We start from the raw sequence: 18,928 nt of genomic DNA on the forward strand, positions 1-18,928 counted from the left end.
TATTACATACATCCTTATTGATTAAACAGTGTTTTCTGCTAACAAGTTTTTGGGGTTTTTAAATCTCCTGTAGGTTTTGGCTGATGGTTTGAGGACTGGTGTCACTGAATGGCTCGAGCCCCTGGAAGCAAAATCTGCTGTTGAACTTGTTCAGGAATTTCTGAATGGTGTATTACTTGTTTTATTAATTGAGAATTTATACTTGCTATGTTTAAATATAAGTTTCTCTTTAAGCTTGATACTCTTTTTTGATTGGAATATATACAAAGCTATGAGATCTGTTATGGTCAGAGGGACAGCTTTTGTTCTGAATTGCTAATGGTAGAGATCTAAGTAATCCTAAGAATTAATAAGATTTAATTTATATTTGAGATTGAAGGAAAAAAGAGATGAATCAGTAGCCTTTGAATACCTACCATGTGCCTGATGCCATGTGTCAGGGGCTTTTCTGTTACCTCCGTTCATCCTCACACCCCCACCTGATGGATATCTATTATAATCTCCACCAGAGTTCAGTGATTTGCTAAAATCCTTAGTTAGACTTCTACTGTCCCCATTTACCATTTGAAAATAGGATTAGGATGGAAATAATTTGGAAAGCAGAAAAATCAAGAGCTAATAAACTTTTGCCACTTTCTAGACTTAAATAAGCTGGATGGATTTGGTGATTCTACAAAAAAAGACACTGAGGTTGAGGTAAGTGATTATTATCAGTTAGAAATATACACAGAAATAGCTTTTAAAATTCGGTTATGCTGACATCTTTCATGTTGTACCATCGCAAATGGATTTGGGATATCAAGGCAGCATTTAAGGGGAATTTTTGTTGATCTTTATTGTCAGCACTGGTTATTGTTTTCCTTAAGAAATGATAAATATTTTTATTTAATTATTATTATTTTTTTGAGACAAGGTCTTGCTCTGTCACCCAGGCTGGAATGCAGTGGCTCCACCATGGCTCACTGCAGCTTTGACCTCCAGGGCTCAAGCGATCCTCCCACCTCAGGTCCCCGAGTAGCTGGGACTACTGGTGTGCACCACCATGTCTGGCTAATTTTTAAATATTTTGTAGAGATGGGTTCTCACTATATTGCCTAGGCTGGTCTTGAACTCGTGGGCTCAAGCAATCCACCTGCATTGGCCTCCCAAAGTGCTGGGATTACAGGCATAGCCACTGTGCTTGGTCAGAACTGATAAATATTTTTGAAGAGAACTGGTATATATGTATTATTAGTTGCTCAATTGCAGAGAAGTAGAAATGAATATGTTAATATTACTATAAAATGGCTCTACTATCATATATTAATATACTCTAAGATGGTACTGTTAAATTAAACTAGATATATTCTCATCTGACAAATAGGAAAACGGAGACCAAGGTAATTTAATTTTTTTTTTACATGGAGGGAAAGCTGAATGCTCACTTTTAGGCACTATAATTTTAAAACAATATTAAGGGTCTTGTTTTTCACTGTTGATTTGTATCTCCTCATTAGTGAATGAAGTTGTAGAAAATTCGTTCATATCTTTGTGTGTGTTCATGAATCCATAATTTCTCAGAGCAGCATTTGAAGGCTTAAATTATTTCACTTAAAAAAAAAACTGAGTATTCTCTGAAGGTTGCTTCTTTTTCAGACCTTGAAGCATGACACTGCTGCAGTCGATCGTTCCGTCAAGCGTCTTTTCAAAGTTCGGAGTGATCTTGATTTTGCTGAGCAACTGTGGTGCAAAATGAGCAGTAGTAGGTGTCCATCATGATTTAAATTTTTCCTCTTATTTCTTAGGTTTATTTTTAAGTCTTTTGGAAATAATACAGTGTGTACCACTAGTTTTGTGGGGAAGTCTGGTTCTTAACTTTATCTAATTCATTTCTAATGACACATTGGTGCATTCTGCTTAAGAATTGTACTAAGACAAAGTAATTTGTAGAATTATCCTTTTCTCCTGCCTTTTTAAATATAAGACTTAGGTAATTTTCATGATCTATTTATATGAACCAAAACATATACCTTACTGAAATTATAATTATTGAAAAAGGAAAAGATATTCTTTAGTATTTTACTAAGCATATTATTTTTTGGCAATCTGAATTTGGTTTCTTTCTTTAGAAATTCATTAAATCTTTTTTTTTTTTGCCACTTTAATTTCTTTCCCTTTCCCCTGCTTGCAAAGTACAAATTCTTGCTTTCTACTTCATTTGTGTATCCTTAAGATTAATGATATATTTGATCTGTAGAAATACCCTGAAAATAATGTTACACTGACTTGTTTTCCAAGGTGTGATTTCATACCAAGACTTGGTGAAGTGTTTCACATTGATCATCCAGAGTCTACAACGTGGTGATATACAGCCATGGGTAGGTTTAGTAGTGTGTGTCAGATCATTTTCTCAGCAGCATAGCATGATGTAAAGACACAGGCTCTGAAGCCAACTGCCTGAGTCTGAATTTCAGCTCTGCTACTTTCTAGCTGTGTAAAGTTCGGCAGGTTCCTTTACTTTTCTTGTGCCCCAACATCCTCATCTGTAAAGTAAAGGTAAGAATAGTATCTACCTCGTAGTGTTCCAGGATTGATTAATGTTATCCATGTAATGCACCTAGTGCCTGGCTCATACTTAAGGGCCCAGTGTGTGTAAACTACTAATATTGTCATTGTTAAGTGTTGCTGTGAATGAGTATTCTCATATACTACTGATGAGAATGCAAGTTGAGATATTCTCTAAAAAGCAATTTTGGTAATGTATTGAGATCCTCACAATGTGTCATGGCCTTTGAACCAATAATTCTTTTGTTAAGATGTACCCTAAGCTCATACACATAAATATGTATCAAGACTTTATGTATCAGAATAGTCATCTCAGCCTCATTTATATTGGCATAAAAATTTAAAGGACCTAAATTTCTCTTGCTAATGGAATGGCTAAGTAAATAATGATATAGCTACATATGGCACATGTAATAGTTGCTGAAAAAATGATGCTGATAAATGATATGGAGAAATGCTTACAATATTTGATAAAAAGGAATATACACAATTGTATATGAAGTTAACTTTTGGAGAGAAAAATCTGGAAACAAATATGCTAAAAATCTTAATAGCAGTCACCTCTGGTGGAAGGGTTACAAATGACTTTTTCCAGTCAGGCGTGGTGACTCAGGCCTGTAATTCCAACTCTTTGGGAGGCTGAGGCTGGCAGATCACTTGAGGTCAGGAGCTCGAGACCAGCCTGGCCAATATGGTAAAACCCTGCCTCTACTGAAAATCAAAAAAATTAGCCAGGCATGGTGGCAGGCACCTGTAATCTGAGATACTCAGGAGGCTGAGGCAGGAGAATTGCTTGAACCCAGGAGGCAGAGGTGGCAGTGAGCTGAGATTGCACCACTCCACTCCAGCCTGGGCAACAGAGTAAGACTCCGTCTCATAAAAAACAAGTTTTTCCAACTGTGTTATATTTCTACTTTATGAATTTTCCACAGTGAACTTGTGCCACTTTTATAGTCAAGAAAAAGCTAAGTAAAAAGTTAAAAAGATTTTTAATAGGAATTATTTTAGGTAATATGACTACCAATTCATCATTATAAAAGTTATAAACTTTTATGGGTGTGAACAAGGTACATTCCAGAGTAAAGGCATGCAAGCTCTGCTTAATTGGGCATTAGTGATTCTAGGCATTTTAGTTTTAGCCGTTGAATTTTTCTCTTGAGAGTTTCTGTGTTCATGAGATGTTTACAAGTATAACCTTACTAACCTTACCATGTACTATTAGTGCAAACAAAGTGAAACTATGTGTATATTGTAAAAAGACCTTGCAAAGATTATGATGAAAGTTAAAGTAGAGAAATAGAAAGTAGTGGGGAAATGACATTTTATGAGTACCTAAAATGAATCATTTAACATTTGGAACACAAATTAAATTGTAAACTCACAGCTCTTTTTAATTTACAAATTATCAAGTTCGTATGTTGGATATTGTAGCCAATGAGGAGTTCCTTATGAACATGCATGGACCATTGAGGGAGCTTGTTTAACTGCAGCAGCAGATTTTTGGTGTAGAAGAAGATGTTCAATTGTGGAAAAGATTCTCCTCTCAGCTAGGAGAGGAGAATTCCTAGTTGTAAAGTTTCAAAGGAACAGCTCTGGCTTCTCTTTGGTGGAATCGTATCTGGGGATGATAAGTTTAAACCCTTCTTAGTTGCTTTGGACTTAAACACATGAGATAGGAATGGCTTTTTAAATTTTATTTTATTTTATTTTATTTTTTTGAGTCAGAGTCTTGCTCTATTGCCCAGGCTGGAGTGCAGTGCTGTGATCTCGGCTCACTGCAGCCTCTGCCTCCCAGGCTCAAGCTGTTCTCTTTCCTCAGCCTCCCGAGCTGGGACTACAGGCGCTTGCTACCACGGCCAGTTTATTTTGTATTTTTAGTAGAGACGGGGTTTCACCATGTTGTCCAGGCTGGTCTCAAACTCCTGACCTCAAGTGATCTACCCTCGTCAGCCTCCCAAGTGCTGGAATTACAGGTGTAAACCACTGCACCCAGTTCCAGAAATGGCATTTGAAAAACTGACGTTCTGGCCGAGTGCCATGGCTCCTGCCTGTAATCCCAGCACTTTGGGAGTCCGACGCGGGCGGATCACGAGATCAGGACTTTGAGAGCAGCCTGGCCAACATGGTGAAACCCCATCTCTACTAAAAATATAAAAATTAGCCAGGTGCAGTGGCATGCTCCTTTAGACCCAGCTACTCAGGAGGCTAAGGCAGGAGAATTGCTTGAACCTGGGAGGTAGAGGTTGCTGTGAGCCGAGATCGTGCCACTGCACTCCAGCCTGGGTGACAGAGCAAGACTCTGTCTCAAAACAAAAAACTGATGTTAATAACTTGGGGGGTTTTGTTCAAACAATTTATAGTGTTAGGAGACTAGGAATGCAAGCTTATAATTTTTAGTTTGTAGCTACTGTAATTTGCTTCTCTTTTACTTGTTGGGTTTATTTATATATTTATTCATGGTTTTATAAAATTTTCCTGATTTCTAGCTCCATAGTGGAAGTAACAGTTTACTAAGTAAGCTCATTCATCAGTCTTATCATGGAACCATGGACACAGTTTCTCTCAGTGGGACTATTCCAGTTCAAATGCTTTTGGAAATTGGTTTGGACAAACTAAAGAAAGATTATATCAGTTTTTTCATAGGTAAGTATCTTTCCTGGCTCAAAAAATTAAAAAACACATCACAGTTATCAGTCACAGATATTCTCGGATTTTCTGTTTCTGCTTGTCCCTCATCGTCTGTAGTCCTTCCTGGCTTTGTACCTGGTTCACTATGAGATGAGCATTTCCCTTCTCTGGGCCTTAGTTTCCCCCCAATAAAGATATCAAATGCATTATATCCATAGTTCTTGATAATTTATTTGTTTTTAGTTCAAACATTTGCGGTTCTATAAAGTTAGTATTTTAAATAAAAAAATCCTTTTATGAGATGCTGTTTTAATACCCTACACTTGGTTGTTTTTAATGAGAGAGAAGCTGTGATCATTTTTAGAATAAATATTAGTATATATTTATGGTATAATATGCCAGGAAACTTGGCCTTTTGTGAGGAACTACTTAGCTTGACAATCTCTTTCATATAGGAACTATAAAAAATTTATATAGATTCCTTAATATGTAATTTAAGAATTTAAGAATTTAAATAGAAATTTAAATTAATTTCTATTAATATGTAATAGAAAATACCTGAAGTGTTTTTGCATGTATGTGTTTTTTCTTAATAGGTCAGGAACTTGCATCTTTGAATCATTTGGTGAGTTTATTTTTTTATTCTAAAATTGGTTTTTCTTTTATTCAGTCATTCTGTGTGCAGTTATTAACTGCCAATAATATGCTAGCCACTGTCTTAGGTCCTGGGAAATGGATAAATAAGACAGTCAGTGCCCGTAGTTATTACTGCCTAGTAAGATAGACAAAAAAGTAGCCCATTCAATGTCATTTCTCACTCTCTATAAATTTGTGATACTTATATATAGTTATATCCTACTGAAGCCAGTGTACTATCACACATCTCATCTATCCAGAATGCTTAGGGAATGCCTTTCTTTGATAGGTTCTGTAAAGCAATGTTTGTTTTATTTTCTCTTTATTCATTTATATTACACTTGAAAGTTTATTTTCCAAATAATTTATAATCTTTAATGTATACTTTTGGGTTTCAGGGTCATCGTTATGAACTTTGTTGTATTTTCCTAGCCCATTCAGAAACTTCAGAAAGTTGAATAGTGTCTGTACTGATCTTTGACGTTCATTGAAAGATCCTTTTGAAAATGAATTTATAGTATCAATTTGTTTATCATTTCTCTCTTATGAAAATACAAGATAGAAAAACTATATCTGTTGTGCAAAATAGACTCAACTGGATTCTTCTGAGGTTTAATTTTTACTATTCAAATTTTAAACATTTTATTAAGGGCATATATTTTTAGTGGACACATGTTCTAGCAAAAACTACACACACACACACGCGCACACACACACACACAAACATACATACACACAGTTGGTCCTCTATGTCTGTGGGTTCTGCATCCATGGATTCAACCAACTGCAGATTGAAAATGTTTAAAAAAAATACGCTGGGCACAGTGGCTCCCTCCTGTAATCCCAACACTTTGGGAGGATCACTTGAGCCCAGGAGTGTGAGATCAGCCTGGGCAACATAGGGAGACTCCATCTCTACAAAAATAAAAAAATTAGCCAGGCATGGTTGTCTGTGCCTGTGGTCCCAGCTACTTGGGAGGCTGAGGTAGGAAGCTCACTTGAGCCGGGGAAGTTGAAGCTGCAGTGAGCTGTGATCGTGGGCTACTTTTTTGTCTATCTGCACTCCAGCCTTGGTGACAGAGCAAGACCCTGTTTCAAAAAAAAGGGATGATTATGTCTGTACTGAATATGTGTGGATTTCTTCTTGTCATTATTCTCTTTTTTTTCTTGTCATTCTCTAAACAGTAAGTGTAACAACTATTTATGTAGCATTTACATTGTATTAGGCATTACAAGTAATCTAGAGGTGATTTAAAGCATACAGGAGGGTGTGCATAGGTTATATGCAAATACTATACTATTTTATATAAAGGACTTGAGCATCCATGGATTTTGGTATACAAAGGGGATCATGGTACCAATCCTCCATGGATACCAACGGACAACTGTATCTGTATATACAGTCATACTTCACTTAATGATGGGGATACATTCTGAGAAATGTGTCATTATTTTTTTAAATGTGTGATTAGGTGATTTCCTTATTGTTCAAATTTCAGGGAGTGGCGTAAACAAACTTAGATGGTATAACCTACTGCACACCTAGGCTATAAACCTTTACAGTATATTTTTGTACTGAATACTGTAGGTAATTGTAACATAATGGTATTTGTGTATCTAAACATAGAAGGGGTACAGTAAAAATAACGTACAAAAGATAAAAACGTGGATACCTGTACAGGGCACTTACCATGAATGGAGCTTGCAGGACTGGAAGTTGCTCTGGGTGGGTCAGTGAGTGAGTGGTGAGTGAATGTGAAGGTGTAGAACATTACTGTACACTATTGTAGACTATAAACACTGTATACTTAGGCTACACCAAATTTATTTAAAAATTTGTTTCTTCAATAAAAATTTAACCATAACTTACTATAACTTTTTTACATTATAAACTTTTAAATTTTTCTAAACTTTTTGGTTTTTTTGTAATAACACTTAAAATACAAACACATTGTACAGCTATACAAAAATATTTTCTCTTTGTATTCTTATTCTATGAGCTTTTTTCTATTTTTAACTTTTTTTTTTGTTTGTTTTAAATTTGTTTGTTAAAAACTAAGACGTAGACACACACATTCGCCTAGGTTGGGATCATCAGTATCACTGTCTTCCGCCTCCACATCTTGTCGCACTGGAAGCTCTCCAGGGGCAAGAACACACATGGAACTGTTATCACCTATGAGATAACATAGGTGCCTTCTGGAATACCTCCTGAAGGTCCTGCCTGAGGCTCTTTTTGAGGAATAGTTTTGTTCATACCAATATCACAGCTAACAAGGGAATAATGCATTGCACTACATTACAGCTACAAAGTCACTACTGGCGAGAGGGATTTTTCAGTTCTATTGTGATCTTATAAGACCACTGTAGGCCGGGCGCGGTGGTTTACGCCTGTAATCCCAGCACTTGGGGAGGCTGAGGCAGACAGATCACTTGAGGTCAGGAGTTTGAGACCAGCCTGGGCAACGTGGTGAATTCCTGTCTCTAATAAAAATATGAAAATTAGCTGGGTGTGGTGGTGCATGCCTGTAATCCCAGCTACTCAGGAGGCTAAGGCGGGAGAATCACTTGAATCCAGGAGGTGGAGGTTGCAGTGAGCCAAGATCACGCCACGGCACTCCAGCCTGTGTGGCAGAGTGAGACCCTGTCTCAAAAAAAAAAAAAAAGACCACTGTAATATGTGTGATCCATTGTTGACTCAAACACTGTTGTATGGTGCATGACTATAATTTAGTTTGAATAATAGTATTGAAAGGTGAGAAATTCTATCTAGCTTCTTCTGGTCTTTTTTTTTTTTAATGCCTGTTATCAAGCATCCAAATGTAGGTGTAGAAGGCATACCTATATTCTTTACAAAGGTTACACAGGTGCTTTAAATCTCTATTTTGCTTATATTTTTTCATTCCAGGAATACTTCATTGCTCCATCAGTAGATATACAAGAACAGGTTTATCGTGTCCAAAAACTCCACCATATTCTAGAAATATTAGTCAGTTGCATGCCTTTCATTAAATCTCAACATGAACTCCTCTTTTCTTTAACACAGTAAGTACATCTGTATTCTTCACTTATATAGAAATGTATTTCTTTTGAAATAGTTACAGCCTAAATATGTACAGTTTTTATTACCAGTTAGGATAGAACCTCTTCATCCTGTCTTTACAGTAGCATGCATGAGTCTAAGTCAGTGCCATAGGCAGGAAAGGCTTTGGATTCAAAAGGAATCAGATTTGACATTGGCTGCATCACTTCCTAACTTCCTTAGGAAGTTTCCATCACTGAATCCTGTTTCCTCATCTGTAAAAAGGATCTAATAACCTCATGTATTCGTAAATACTAGTTCCTTCTCTTCTTTATATCCCTGTCAATTTGGGTCAAAATAGCCTTGCCAGCCATCTAAATGATAACAATGGAATCAAATAGTACTACTAGACCTCTGTCAGTAGCATTGCTGTAATTGTAGAGACTGCTGTAATTTGAGATTCCAATTAGTTTGACTAGAGGTTATTTGGAAAAATTCTCAGACACGGACTGCTGGTATCTTATGTGTATTTGAGGCCTCAAACTAGGAAGTGAACTGTCCAGTGGAAGGACTGGGTTTCTTTTCCCTCTGGAAGGAAATGTACCATTACATTTTCCAAAATTACAATTTGCCTCAGTTGTAGAGGGGAAAGTTTGAAATTGTTATTGTTTATAGAATCTCCAAGTTTTGTTTTTTTTTTCCCCATTATAGATCAGTGGAATGAATGAGTTAACTGTAATTCCTTGGACTCTGAAAACCATGGAAGCTGTACTTTTGTTTCTCTTCTGCCTCTTTTTTTTGTATTGTTTCTCTCTTTCTGTAACCTCTTTCTCCCCACGAAGCCTTTCTTTGGCCTCAAATTTATTTTATATTTATGAGAAATATGTCTATTAATTTTTTAAAAGTGAATGAGATTTGTTTTCAAAGAAAAAAACATAACCTAAGTTTTGTTTGTAGGGTTGTTGTGTTTGTTTGTTTACTTTTGTGGCTCTAAAAGTGTTCGCTGATGTTTTAGTTAGTAGTACTCAATAAAATGTTTCCCTTACGAGCTTTAGACTACCAGAAAAACGTTATGTCAAATGGCTCTTTTTTCCAAAAGAGGTTCCATTTTGTTTTTTCAGGATCTGCATAAAGTATTACAAACAAAATCCTCTTGATGAGCAACACATTTTTCAGCTGCCAGTCAGACCAACTGCTGTAAAGAACTTATATCAAAGGTAAGCAATTTTTGCTAGGCATGGTGGCTCATGCCTGTAATCCTAGCACTATGGGAGGCTGAGGTGGGAGGATAACTTGAGCTCAGGAGTTCGAGACCAGCCTGGGCAACATAATGAGACCCTGTCTCTATTAAAAAATAATAATAGCTGGGCGTGGTGGCTCACACCTGTAATCCTAGCACTTTGGGAGGCCGAGGCGGGTGGATCCCCAGAGGTCAGGAGTTCGAGACCAGCCTGGCCAAAATGGTGAAACCCCATCTCTACTAAAAATACAAAAATTAGCTGGGCATGGTGGCATGCACCTATAATCCCAGCTACTCGGGAGGCTGAGGCAGGAGAATCGCTTAAACCTGGGAGGCAGAGGTTGCAGTGAGCCGAGATCATGCCATTGCACTCCAGCCTGGGCAACAAGAGTGAAACTCCGTCTCAAAAAATAATAATAATAATGATAATAAATAAGCATTTTAATTTATTATCTTAAGTCCACCCATGATCCTAGGCAATTTCAGTGTTCATATTCAGTAGGGACCTCATGACCCAGAGCTTCGTCACCTCTGAAACCTTAATCATCTGTGACCATAGTCTGAGAGAGTTCTCCCTCTTCCTTCTCTCAGACCTCTCTCTAGACTGTTGGGCCTCTAGTCTTTCATTTTTCTCTGTATTTGTTATTCCTTCAGAGAAGAGTGGAAAGTATAGCCAGAAAGGAAATGATGGATTAGGAGAAAAATGACCAGGATAGTGATAACAGGGTCTAGGGTATGACTGTGGGAGTGAGAGAAGGGTTTGGGATTAGAGGAAGTAGGGAACTGTGAGGCTGAGATGATAGATTGTTCATCCACATGGACACTGAGGTTGCCTCCAATGAGGGTCTCCTTGACTCTTCTCTCAGCATATGATATACTTGAAATTTCTCTCATACTATAGCCACTCTATTTATGTCCTCCCTGTATTTAGTTCTTTCTTAGCCAAACTCTCATCACTCCCCCTGAAATTGCTCTGGCAAAGGTCACCAATGACCTTCTAATTGTCAAATCCAGTGGATGCTTTTCAGTAAAAGATTGTTTTCTATCTAGCTCATTGTGTAATTGGTTGGCCCACCCAGTCTTCCTACTTCAGTAAGCACTTTTTTTTTTTTTTAGACAGAGTTTCGCTCTTATTTCCCAGGCTGGAGTGCAGTGGCGCAATCTCAGCTCACTGCAACCACAGCCTTCTGGTTTCAAGCAATTCTCCTGCCTCAGCCTCCGGAGTAGCTGGGATTACAGGCGCCCACCACCACACCCGGCTAATTTTTGTATTTTTAGTAGAGACAGTGTTTCACCATGTTGGCCAGGCTGGTCTCAAACTTCTGACCTGGTGATCCGACCACCTGAGCCTCCCAAAGTACTGGGATTACAGGTGTGAGCCACCATGCTCGGTCTACTTCAGTAAGCACGTATAAGGCTGTTTGGCATTTAGCACTATTGCTGTCTTGAACCTATCTCCTTATTTTCTGTGACGTAGCATCTGTCTTAATTTGAATTCTACCTCTCTGGCCCATCTGAAAGGCTGAGAACAGTTCTCTTTTCAAGTACTTCTTCTTCTGCCACTTTTCACCAGAACTCTACCCTCTGCTTTCTTTTCTTCTTACTTCCTATCTTCCCTTGGTGATTGCATTTATTCTCAAGGCTTCAACTTGTCTAGGCTAACGATAATTCATAACTCACATCTCCAGCTTCTCTGAGCTTCAGACCCATCTTTCTAAATGCCTATTAGCTGTGAATCCCCAGCTTATTGAAGTAGCAGTTCAAACTCTAAAGCCTAACACCTCATCCCCTTCTCAATGCTTTTTCCTCCTCCCATACTTTGTCTCTCAAATCACCATCATTAATCTCTATCTAATGGCCAAAACAAAAACGTAGTGCTTATCCTCCGCTCATCCCTCACTCCTTTAAATGGTTACCGATAGCCTGGGCAACACGGTGAAACCCTGTCTCTACAAAAAATATAAAAATTAGCCAGGCATGGTGGCATGCACCTGTAGTCCCAGCTACTAGGGAGGCTGAGGTAGGAGGAATTTCCTAAGGCCTGGAGGTCGAAGCTGTAGTGAACTGTGATCACGCCACTGCACTCCAGCCTGGGTGACAGAGCAAGACCCTGTCAAAAAAAAAAAAAAAAAAAAAAGATTACTGAGTCTAGACTAGACCTTGGTAACTCTAGAATTTGTCCCCTTCTCTACATCTTCACATCATCATTACTTTGTTTCACATCTGCATCATTTCATACCTGGACTGTGGTAAAATCCTTTTTCCTAACTGCGCTCTGCCTCTGTTATCTTTCTTTTCTATGTCATTGCCAAAATGATCTTCCTAAAAATTCAAATCCCACCAGGACTTCCTCCTGTTTAAATGTCTCCTATCACAGGGATGCTGTGTTACTGCATTTCTTCAGACATTCCACACTCTTAACCCTCGGTGCATACTCAACATTTCATTCCTTCATCCTGGAGTTTATCTGCCTAACTAACTCCTGGTTATTTCATACTCAGCTCACACATCACAGCCTCTGAGGATTCTTTCCAACTCTGCTATCCCCAATCCGAGTTACATTCCTCTCTTCAGTTTTCCCCTAACACATCTAGTATTTCTCTGTTGTAGCATTTTTTTTTCCAAATTGTTATTTTTATTCTTATTTTTCTTGCTCTCTTGACTATACACCTCAAGGGCGGGAATTGTGACCCGTTTACCTCTTTGTCCTCAGTGCTTATCACATGAAGACTTCACTAAATGGCTGTAGAGGGAAGGAAGTAAATGGCTGTTTTTGAAAATTTTTCTTTTGTCGTTTTATTCTTTCCTTAGTGAGAAGCCACAGAAATGGAGAGTGGAAATATATAGTGGTCAAAAGAAGATTAAGACAGTTTGGCAACTGAGTGACAGCTCACCCATAGACCATCTGAATTTTCACAAACCTGGTAAAGATGGTTTATAATCTGTTCAGATAAATAATTCCAACAGAAAATAAACTAAGTCTGGCTGGGCACAGCGGCTCACGCCTGTAATCCCAGCACTTTGGGAGGCCGGGGTGGGCAGATTGTGTGAGCTCAGGAGTTTGAGACCAGCCTGGCCAACATGGTGAAACCCCATCTCTACTAAAAATACAAAAAATTAGCCGGGCATGGTTGCATGTGCCTGTAGTCCCAACTACTCACGTGGCTAAGGCACAAGAATTGCTTGAACCCTTGAGGTGGAGGTTGCAGTGAGCTGAGATCGTGCCACTGCACTCCAGCCTGGGCAACAGAGTGAGACTCTGCCTCCAAAAAAAGAAAAAAGAAAATAAACTAAATCTTACTGGAATGGATTATTATTATAGCTCTTGTGTGCCCAGTATTTTCTTTCTTTTTTTTTTTTGAGATGGAGTCTCCCCCTGTCGCCCAGGCTGGAGTGCAGTGGCACCATCTCAGCTCACTGCAGCCTCCGCCTCCTGGGTTCAAGTGATTCTCCTGCCTCAGCCTCCTGAGTAGCTGGGATTACAGGTACGTGCTACCACACCCAGCTAATTTTTTGTATCTTTAGTAAAGATGGGTTTTACCATGTTGGCCAGGCTGGTCTCAAACTCCTGACCTCATGATCCACCTGCCTCAGCCTCCCAAAGTGCTAGGATTACAGGTGTGAGCCACCACTCCTGGCCTGTGCCCAGTTTTAAGTAATTTTCCCGAACTCTAAGTGTAAAACATATTTATTCTTTAAAAAAGAAAACTGCTGGGCCCGGTGGTTCGAGCCTGTAATCCCAGCACTTTGGGAGGCTGAGGCAGGTGGATCACTTTGAACTCAGGAGTTAGAGACCAGCCTGGGCAACATGGAGAAACCCCATCTCTACAAAAAAAAAAAAAATACAAAAATTAGCCGGGTGTTGGTGGCTTGTTGCTGTAGTTCCAGCTACTCAGGAGGCTGAGGCGGGAGAATCACTTAACCCAGGAAGTGGAGGTTACAGTGAGCTGGTCGCACTACTGCAGTCTAGCTTGGGCAACAGAGTGTAACCCTGTCTCAGAAACACACCACACACACACACGCACACGCACACACAAAACTATCATTATTTTTATGCAACTGTAATACCCAGAAAAATTTAGTGTATAATAATCAGAAAAGAATGCTTTTTCTCCTTATCTTGTATAGAGGAACTTTTACTAAAAGAGATCAAGCAATAGGGACATAGGAGTAAAAATAGGTTGTAAGATGGAAATGCTGATTCATACTTGACACTTTTGGGCACTGGTTAAAACGATGATGATATTTCTGTCATAGTGTCTTCTCCATGGTTGAAATAAGGGTTGAGATTGCTAGTATTCTATCACAGATGGTCCATATTAGGCAAAGAATGTCTTTTAGCCCTTTGTGTAATTAGCTAGCCTACCAAGTCTTCCTCCTTCAGGAAGTACCCTCAAACTCATATCTTCATGCACGTGGGTTGTACGGTGCTGTTGTCTCTTATTCATATGGGTCTTAAATGCCTTCATTTAAATATGTAAAGATTATTTGAAAACAAATCTGATAGTTTTCAGACTGAATCTATTAATTAGATTTCAAAGGCCTATACTGCTGGGAATACAAATAGTTTTATTTTACTGATTAATAACTTGCAAAAAATTTTTCCAGAAAATGTTTGTGCTCCTGCCCTCCCAAGTATATTCTGATTTAGGTATAATGGAAATTTCTGTCAGTTAGAGGCTCTGTTCATATAGTTGAACTATAAAAGTCATAACCAAACTGAATTTTTCTGAGAGCCATCAGTTAAAATTGTGCTGTTTTTTTCTAAGTGTTATACAAAACCTGGAAGTGATAAAAGACTGAGAATCAGCTGTAAAAGTAGAAAAATTTCTGCATGGCAAAACAGACAAATTATAAACTAGGAAAAGAAATTTGTAGCCCAGGCCGGGCACGGTGGCTCACACCTGTAATCCCAGCACTTTGGGAGGCCGAGGTGGGCGGATCACAAGGTCAGGAATTTGAGACTAGCCTGGCCAGCACGGTGAAACACCATCTCTACTAAAAAAATACAAAAAAAGGCCGGGCGCGGGGGCTCACACCTGTAATCCCAGCACTTTGGGAGGTCCAGGCAAGTGGATCACGAGGTCAGGAGATCATGACCATCCTGGCTAACACAGTGAAACTCCGTCTCTACTGAAAATACAAAAACTTAGCCAGGTGTGGTGGCATGTGCCTGTAGTCCCAGCTCTTCGGGAGGCGGAGGCAGGAGAATCACTTGAACCTGGGAGGCGGAGGTTGCTGTGAGCCAAGATCGCGCCACTGCATTCCAGCCTGGGTGACAGAGCAAGATTTCGTCTCAAAAAAAGAAATTCGCAACCCATGTTCAGAAAAGGGGATATATTTCAGTAAGAAAAATATTAATAGCTCAATAGAAAAATTGATAGTAAGGTAAACAGTGTACCAAAAGGAAATTCAAATGTGGTTTTAAAAATAAGATATGCTTGCTTGTACTCCCAGCTACTTGGGAGGCTGAGGTGGGAAAGATTGCTTGAGCTCAAGAGTTCAAGGCTAGCCTGGGCAACATAGCGAGATTCCATCTCTAAAAAATGTAAAAGAATAAACCATGCTCAACCTCACCTATAATAAGAGAAATGCAAATTTATATTATATAGATACCTTTTCCATATTAGCAAAGATCAAAAAGTTTGGTGTCTGTGCTGGCGTGGGTATGGGAGAACGGGCAATCATTCTCACACATTTCTGGTTGGAATGTAAAGTTGTACAGCTTCTGTGGGAGGTAGTACCCATCAAAATTGTAAAAGAATAGCTGGGCATGGTGACATGTGCCTATAATCCCAGCTACTTGGGATGCTGAGTCAGGAGAATTGCTAGACTTTGGGAGTGGGGGGCTGCAATGAGCCAAGATCGTGCTCTTGCACTTCAGCCTGGGTGGCGGAGCAAGACTCCATCTCAAAAAATAAATAAATAAATAAATACATTCTTTGGCCTAGCAGTTTCATAAGTAGGAATTTATTACACACATAAAATCAGACCTATGAACAAGACTATTAGTTGTGGTATTGCTTATGGTAGCAAAAACATGGAGACGGGGACTTAGATAAAGACCTAGAAGGATACAATCCAACTTTAGCCATGAGATGTGGAATGGTGATTGCAGAGATGATTACCAGTTTGGGCTGAACATTAGAATCATCTGCAAAGCTTTTAAGGTTCTATTGCCTAAGCTAGGTGCATTGGCTCACGATTTTGTAATCCTAGCACTTCGGGAGGCTAAGGCCTGGGAGGATCACTTTGAGCCTAAGAGTTCAAGACCAGCCTGGGTAACACAGTGGGACCCGATCTGTACAAAAAATACAAAAATTAGCTGCGTGTGGTGGCATATGCCTGTAGTTCTAGCTACTTGGGAGGCTGAGGTGGGAGGATTAGTTGAGCCCAGGAGATTGAGGCTGCAGTGAGCTGAGGTTGTGCCATTGCACTCCAGCCTGGGTAGCAGAGCAAGACCCTGTCTCAGAAAAAAAAAAAAAAGTTCTGTTGCTCATGCCAAGTAAATCAGAATCTCTGGGAGTACAGCTGGGACATCAGTAATTTGTAGAGTTCTTCAGGTGATTCCACTGTGCAACTGTGGCTGAGAATCACCAACCTAAAGTAAACATTCTGTCTACATCTATTGTTTTTTAAAGAAGAAACATATATTCTTTAAAGATTTTAAAGAAGAAACATGTCTTTTAAAGAAGAAAACATATGGCTCACGCCTGTAATCCCAGCACTTTGGGAGGCCAAGGCGGGTGGATCACCTGAGGTCAGGAGTTCCAGACCCAGCCAACATGGTGAAACCCCACCTGTACTAAAAATATAAAAAATTAGCCGGGCATGGTGGCGCATGCCTGTAATCCCAGCTACTCAGGAGGCTGAGGCAGGAGAATTGCTTGAACCTGGGAAGCAGAGGTTTCAGTGAGCCGATATCACGCCATTGCACTCCAGCCTGGGCAACAAGAGCGAAACTCCATCTCAAAAAAAAAAAGAAAAAAGAAAACATATATTTTGTTTTTTAAAGAAGAAACGTATTTTATGGTTAAAAAGAAAATGTTATTTATTTATTTTTGAGACAGGGTCTTGCTCTGTCACCCCAGCTGGAGTGCAGTGGCATGATCTTGCCTCACTGCAGACTCAATCTTCCAGGCTCAAGCAATCCTCCTACTTCAGCGTCCCAAGTAGCTTGGGACTATGGGTGGGCGCCATCATGCCTGCCTAATTTTTTCCTTTTTAAATTTTTCATAGAGGCGAGGTCTTGTTATGTTGGCCAGGAGTTCTCAAACTCCTGAGCTGAAATATTCCCCCTGGCTCAGCCTCCCAAAGCCCTAGGATTACAGGTGCGAACTACTACTGCCCCCGGCCAAAAGGACAATTTTAAAGACATAAATATATGTGAAACATTTGTGAAAAAAATGCCTTGTTTTTTTGTTGTTTTTTTGGTTTTTGTGTGTGTGTGTGTGTGTGTGTGTGTGTGTGTGTTTGAGATGGAGCCTTGCTCTGTCACCCAGGCTAGAGTGCAGTGGCGCGATCTCGGCTCACTGCAACCTCCGCCTCCCGGGTTCAAGCTATTCTCCTGCCTCAGCCTCCCAACTAGCTGGGATTACAGGCGCGTGCCACCACGCCTGGCTAATTTTTGTATTTTTAGTAGAGATGGGGTTTCACCATGTTGGTCAGGCTGGTCTCAAACTCCTGACCTCATGATCCGCCTGCCTTGGCCTCCCAAAGTGCTGGGATTACAGGCGTGAGCCACTGTGCCCAGCTGAAAAAAATGCCATTTTAAAGTAAATTTTGGCCAGTTGTGGTGGCTCACACCTGTAATCCCAGCACTTTGGAAGGCTGAGGTGGGTGGATCACCTGAGGTCAGGAGTTCGTGACCAGCCTGGCCAACATGTTGAAACCCTGTCTCTACTAAAAATACAAAAAATTAGCCAGGCATGGTGGCGGGTGCCTGTAATCCCAGCTACTCAGGAGGCTGAGACAGGAGAATTGCTTGAACCCTGGAGGCAGAGGTTGCAGTGAGACAAGATCACGCCATTGCACTCCAGCCTGGGCAGCAATAGCAAAATTCTGTCTCCAAAAAAATAAAGTAAATTTTATTTTGTAGAGATTAGAGTTCTGTTTTGAGGAAATTCATACAAGATGAAACATCTTTTCCTAATAATGCTGAATAAGCAAGTATACTGAACACATCATTTAATGTCTTTTTGACATGGATTGCAACAAAAAAGAGTGAAAGTTATTTTGAATGTTGGAGTTAAAGCAATTTTCTAGTGCATTGGTCCAGTGACTCCTTTTATGAAAATAAGGAATTCTTATAAAATCATATATTTATGTGCTTAGGAACACACTCAAACTCCATTTTGGCTTGAACTTTATAACCTCTTGTAGCCATCATATATTCTTGATATGTTTGTCTAGAAATTATTCAGTGTCTTTTATCCCCAAAGCAAGACCCATTTTCGAAGGGGGTATCTCATTTGTAAAAGTCATGGGCTATTCAAACAAAGTCTTAATTGTAAATATGGCCTAAAATGTTTAATTTTCTTTCGAAGATCGTATGCTTTTAAGGAGTTAGACTTCTTATTTCTTTGGACTGAGCACTTAAGTCCAATACTAGCTTTTCAAGAAATTTAATGGTATGATGCTTTTGAGTAAAATAGTTGACATCAAAGGCAGGGAGACTTAAGAGAGAAATGTGTACTTTTAGCCACCATGGAAAGAGAGAGGGTAATGATTTGGAGTTAATGGAGGAGAAAACGTGACCAGTGGAGTGCTGCTCACCCAGTGGGTGCTCAGTAAATGATTGTTGATAATGATGAAAATATGGAAACCAAAATGTTGACCCACAAGGAAGTGGACATTAT

General features: G+C 39.4%; 1 protein-coding gene across 6 annotated transcripts in view; it reads left to right on the forward strand.

The window, feature by feature from the left end:
- Positions 1-18,928, forward strand: part of ZWILCH (zwilch kinetochore protein) — a 44,805-nt gene that overhangs the window by 21,891 nt on the left and 3,986 nt on the right. For all 6 annotated transcript variants that reach the window (XR_001751344.3, XR_007064470.1, NM_001287821.2 and 3 more), the window contains 9 exons: positions 74-167; positions 641-696; positions 1,636-1,741; positions 2,278-2,357; positions 5,031-5,187; positions 5,769-5,797; positions 8,717-8,853; positions 9,952-10,047; positions 12,882-12,994. Coding sequence is in view for 4 of the 6 variants with exons in the window: in NM_001287821.2 (NP_001274750.1) it covers positions 74-167; positions 641-696; positions 1,636-1,741; positions 2,278-2,357; positions 5,031-5,187; positions 5,769-5,797; positions 8,717-8,853; positions 9,952-10,047; positions 12,882-12,994 (868 nt within the window). In the remaining 2 variants the exon portion in view is untranslated. The remainder of the gene's footprint in view (positions 1-73; positions 168-640; positions 697-1,635; positions 1,742-2,277; positions 2,358-5,030; positions 5,188-5,768; positions 5,798-8,716; positions 8,854-9,951; positions 10,048-12,881; positions 12,995-18,928) is intronic.

Source organism: Homo sapiens, chromosome 15 (genome assembly GCF_000001405.40).
Source record: "Homo sapiens chromosome 15, GRCh38.p14 Primary Assembly".
Taxonomy (NCBI): Eukaryota; Metazoa; Chordata; class Mammalia; order Primates; family Hominidae; genus Homo; species Homo sapiens.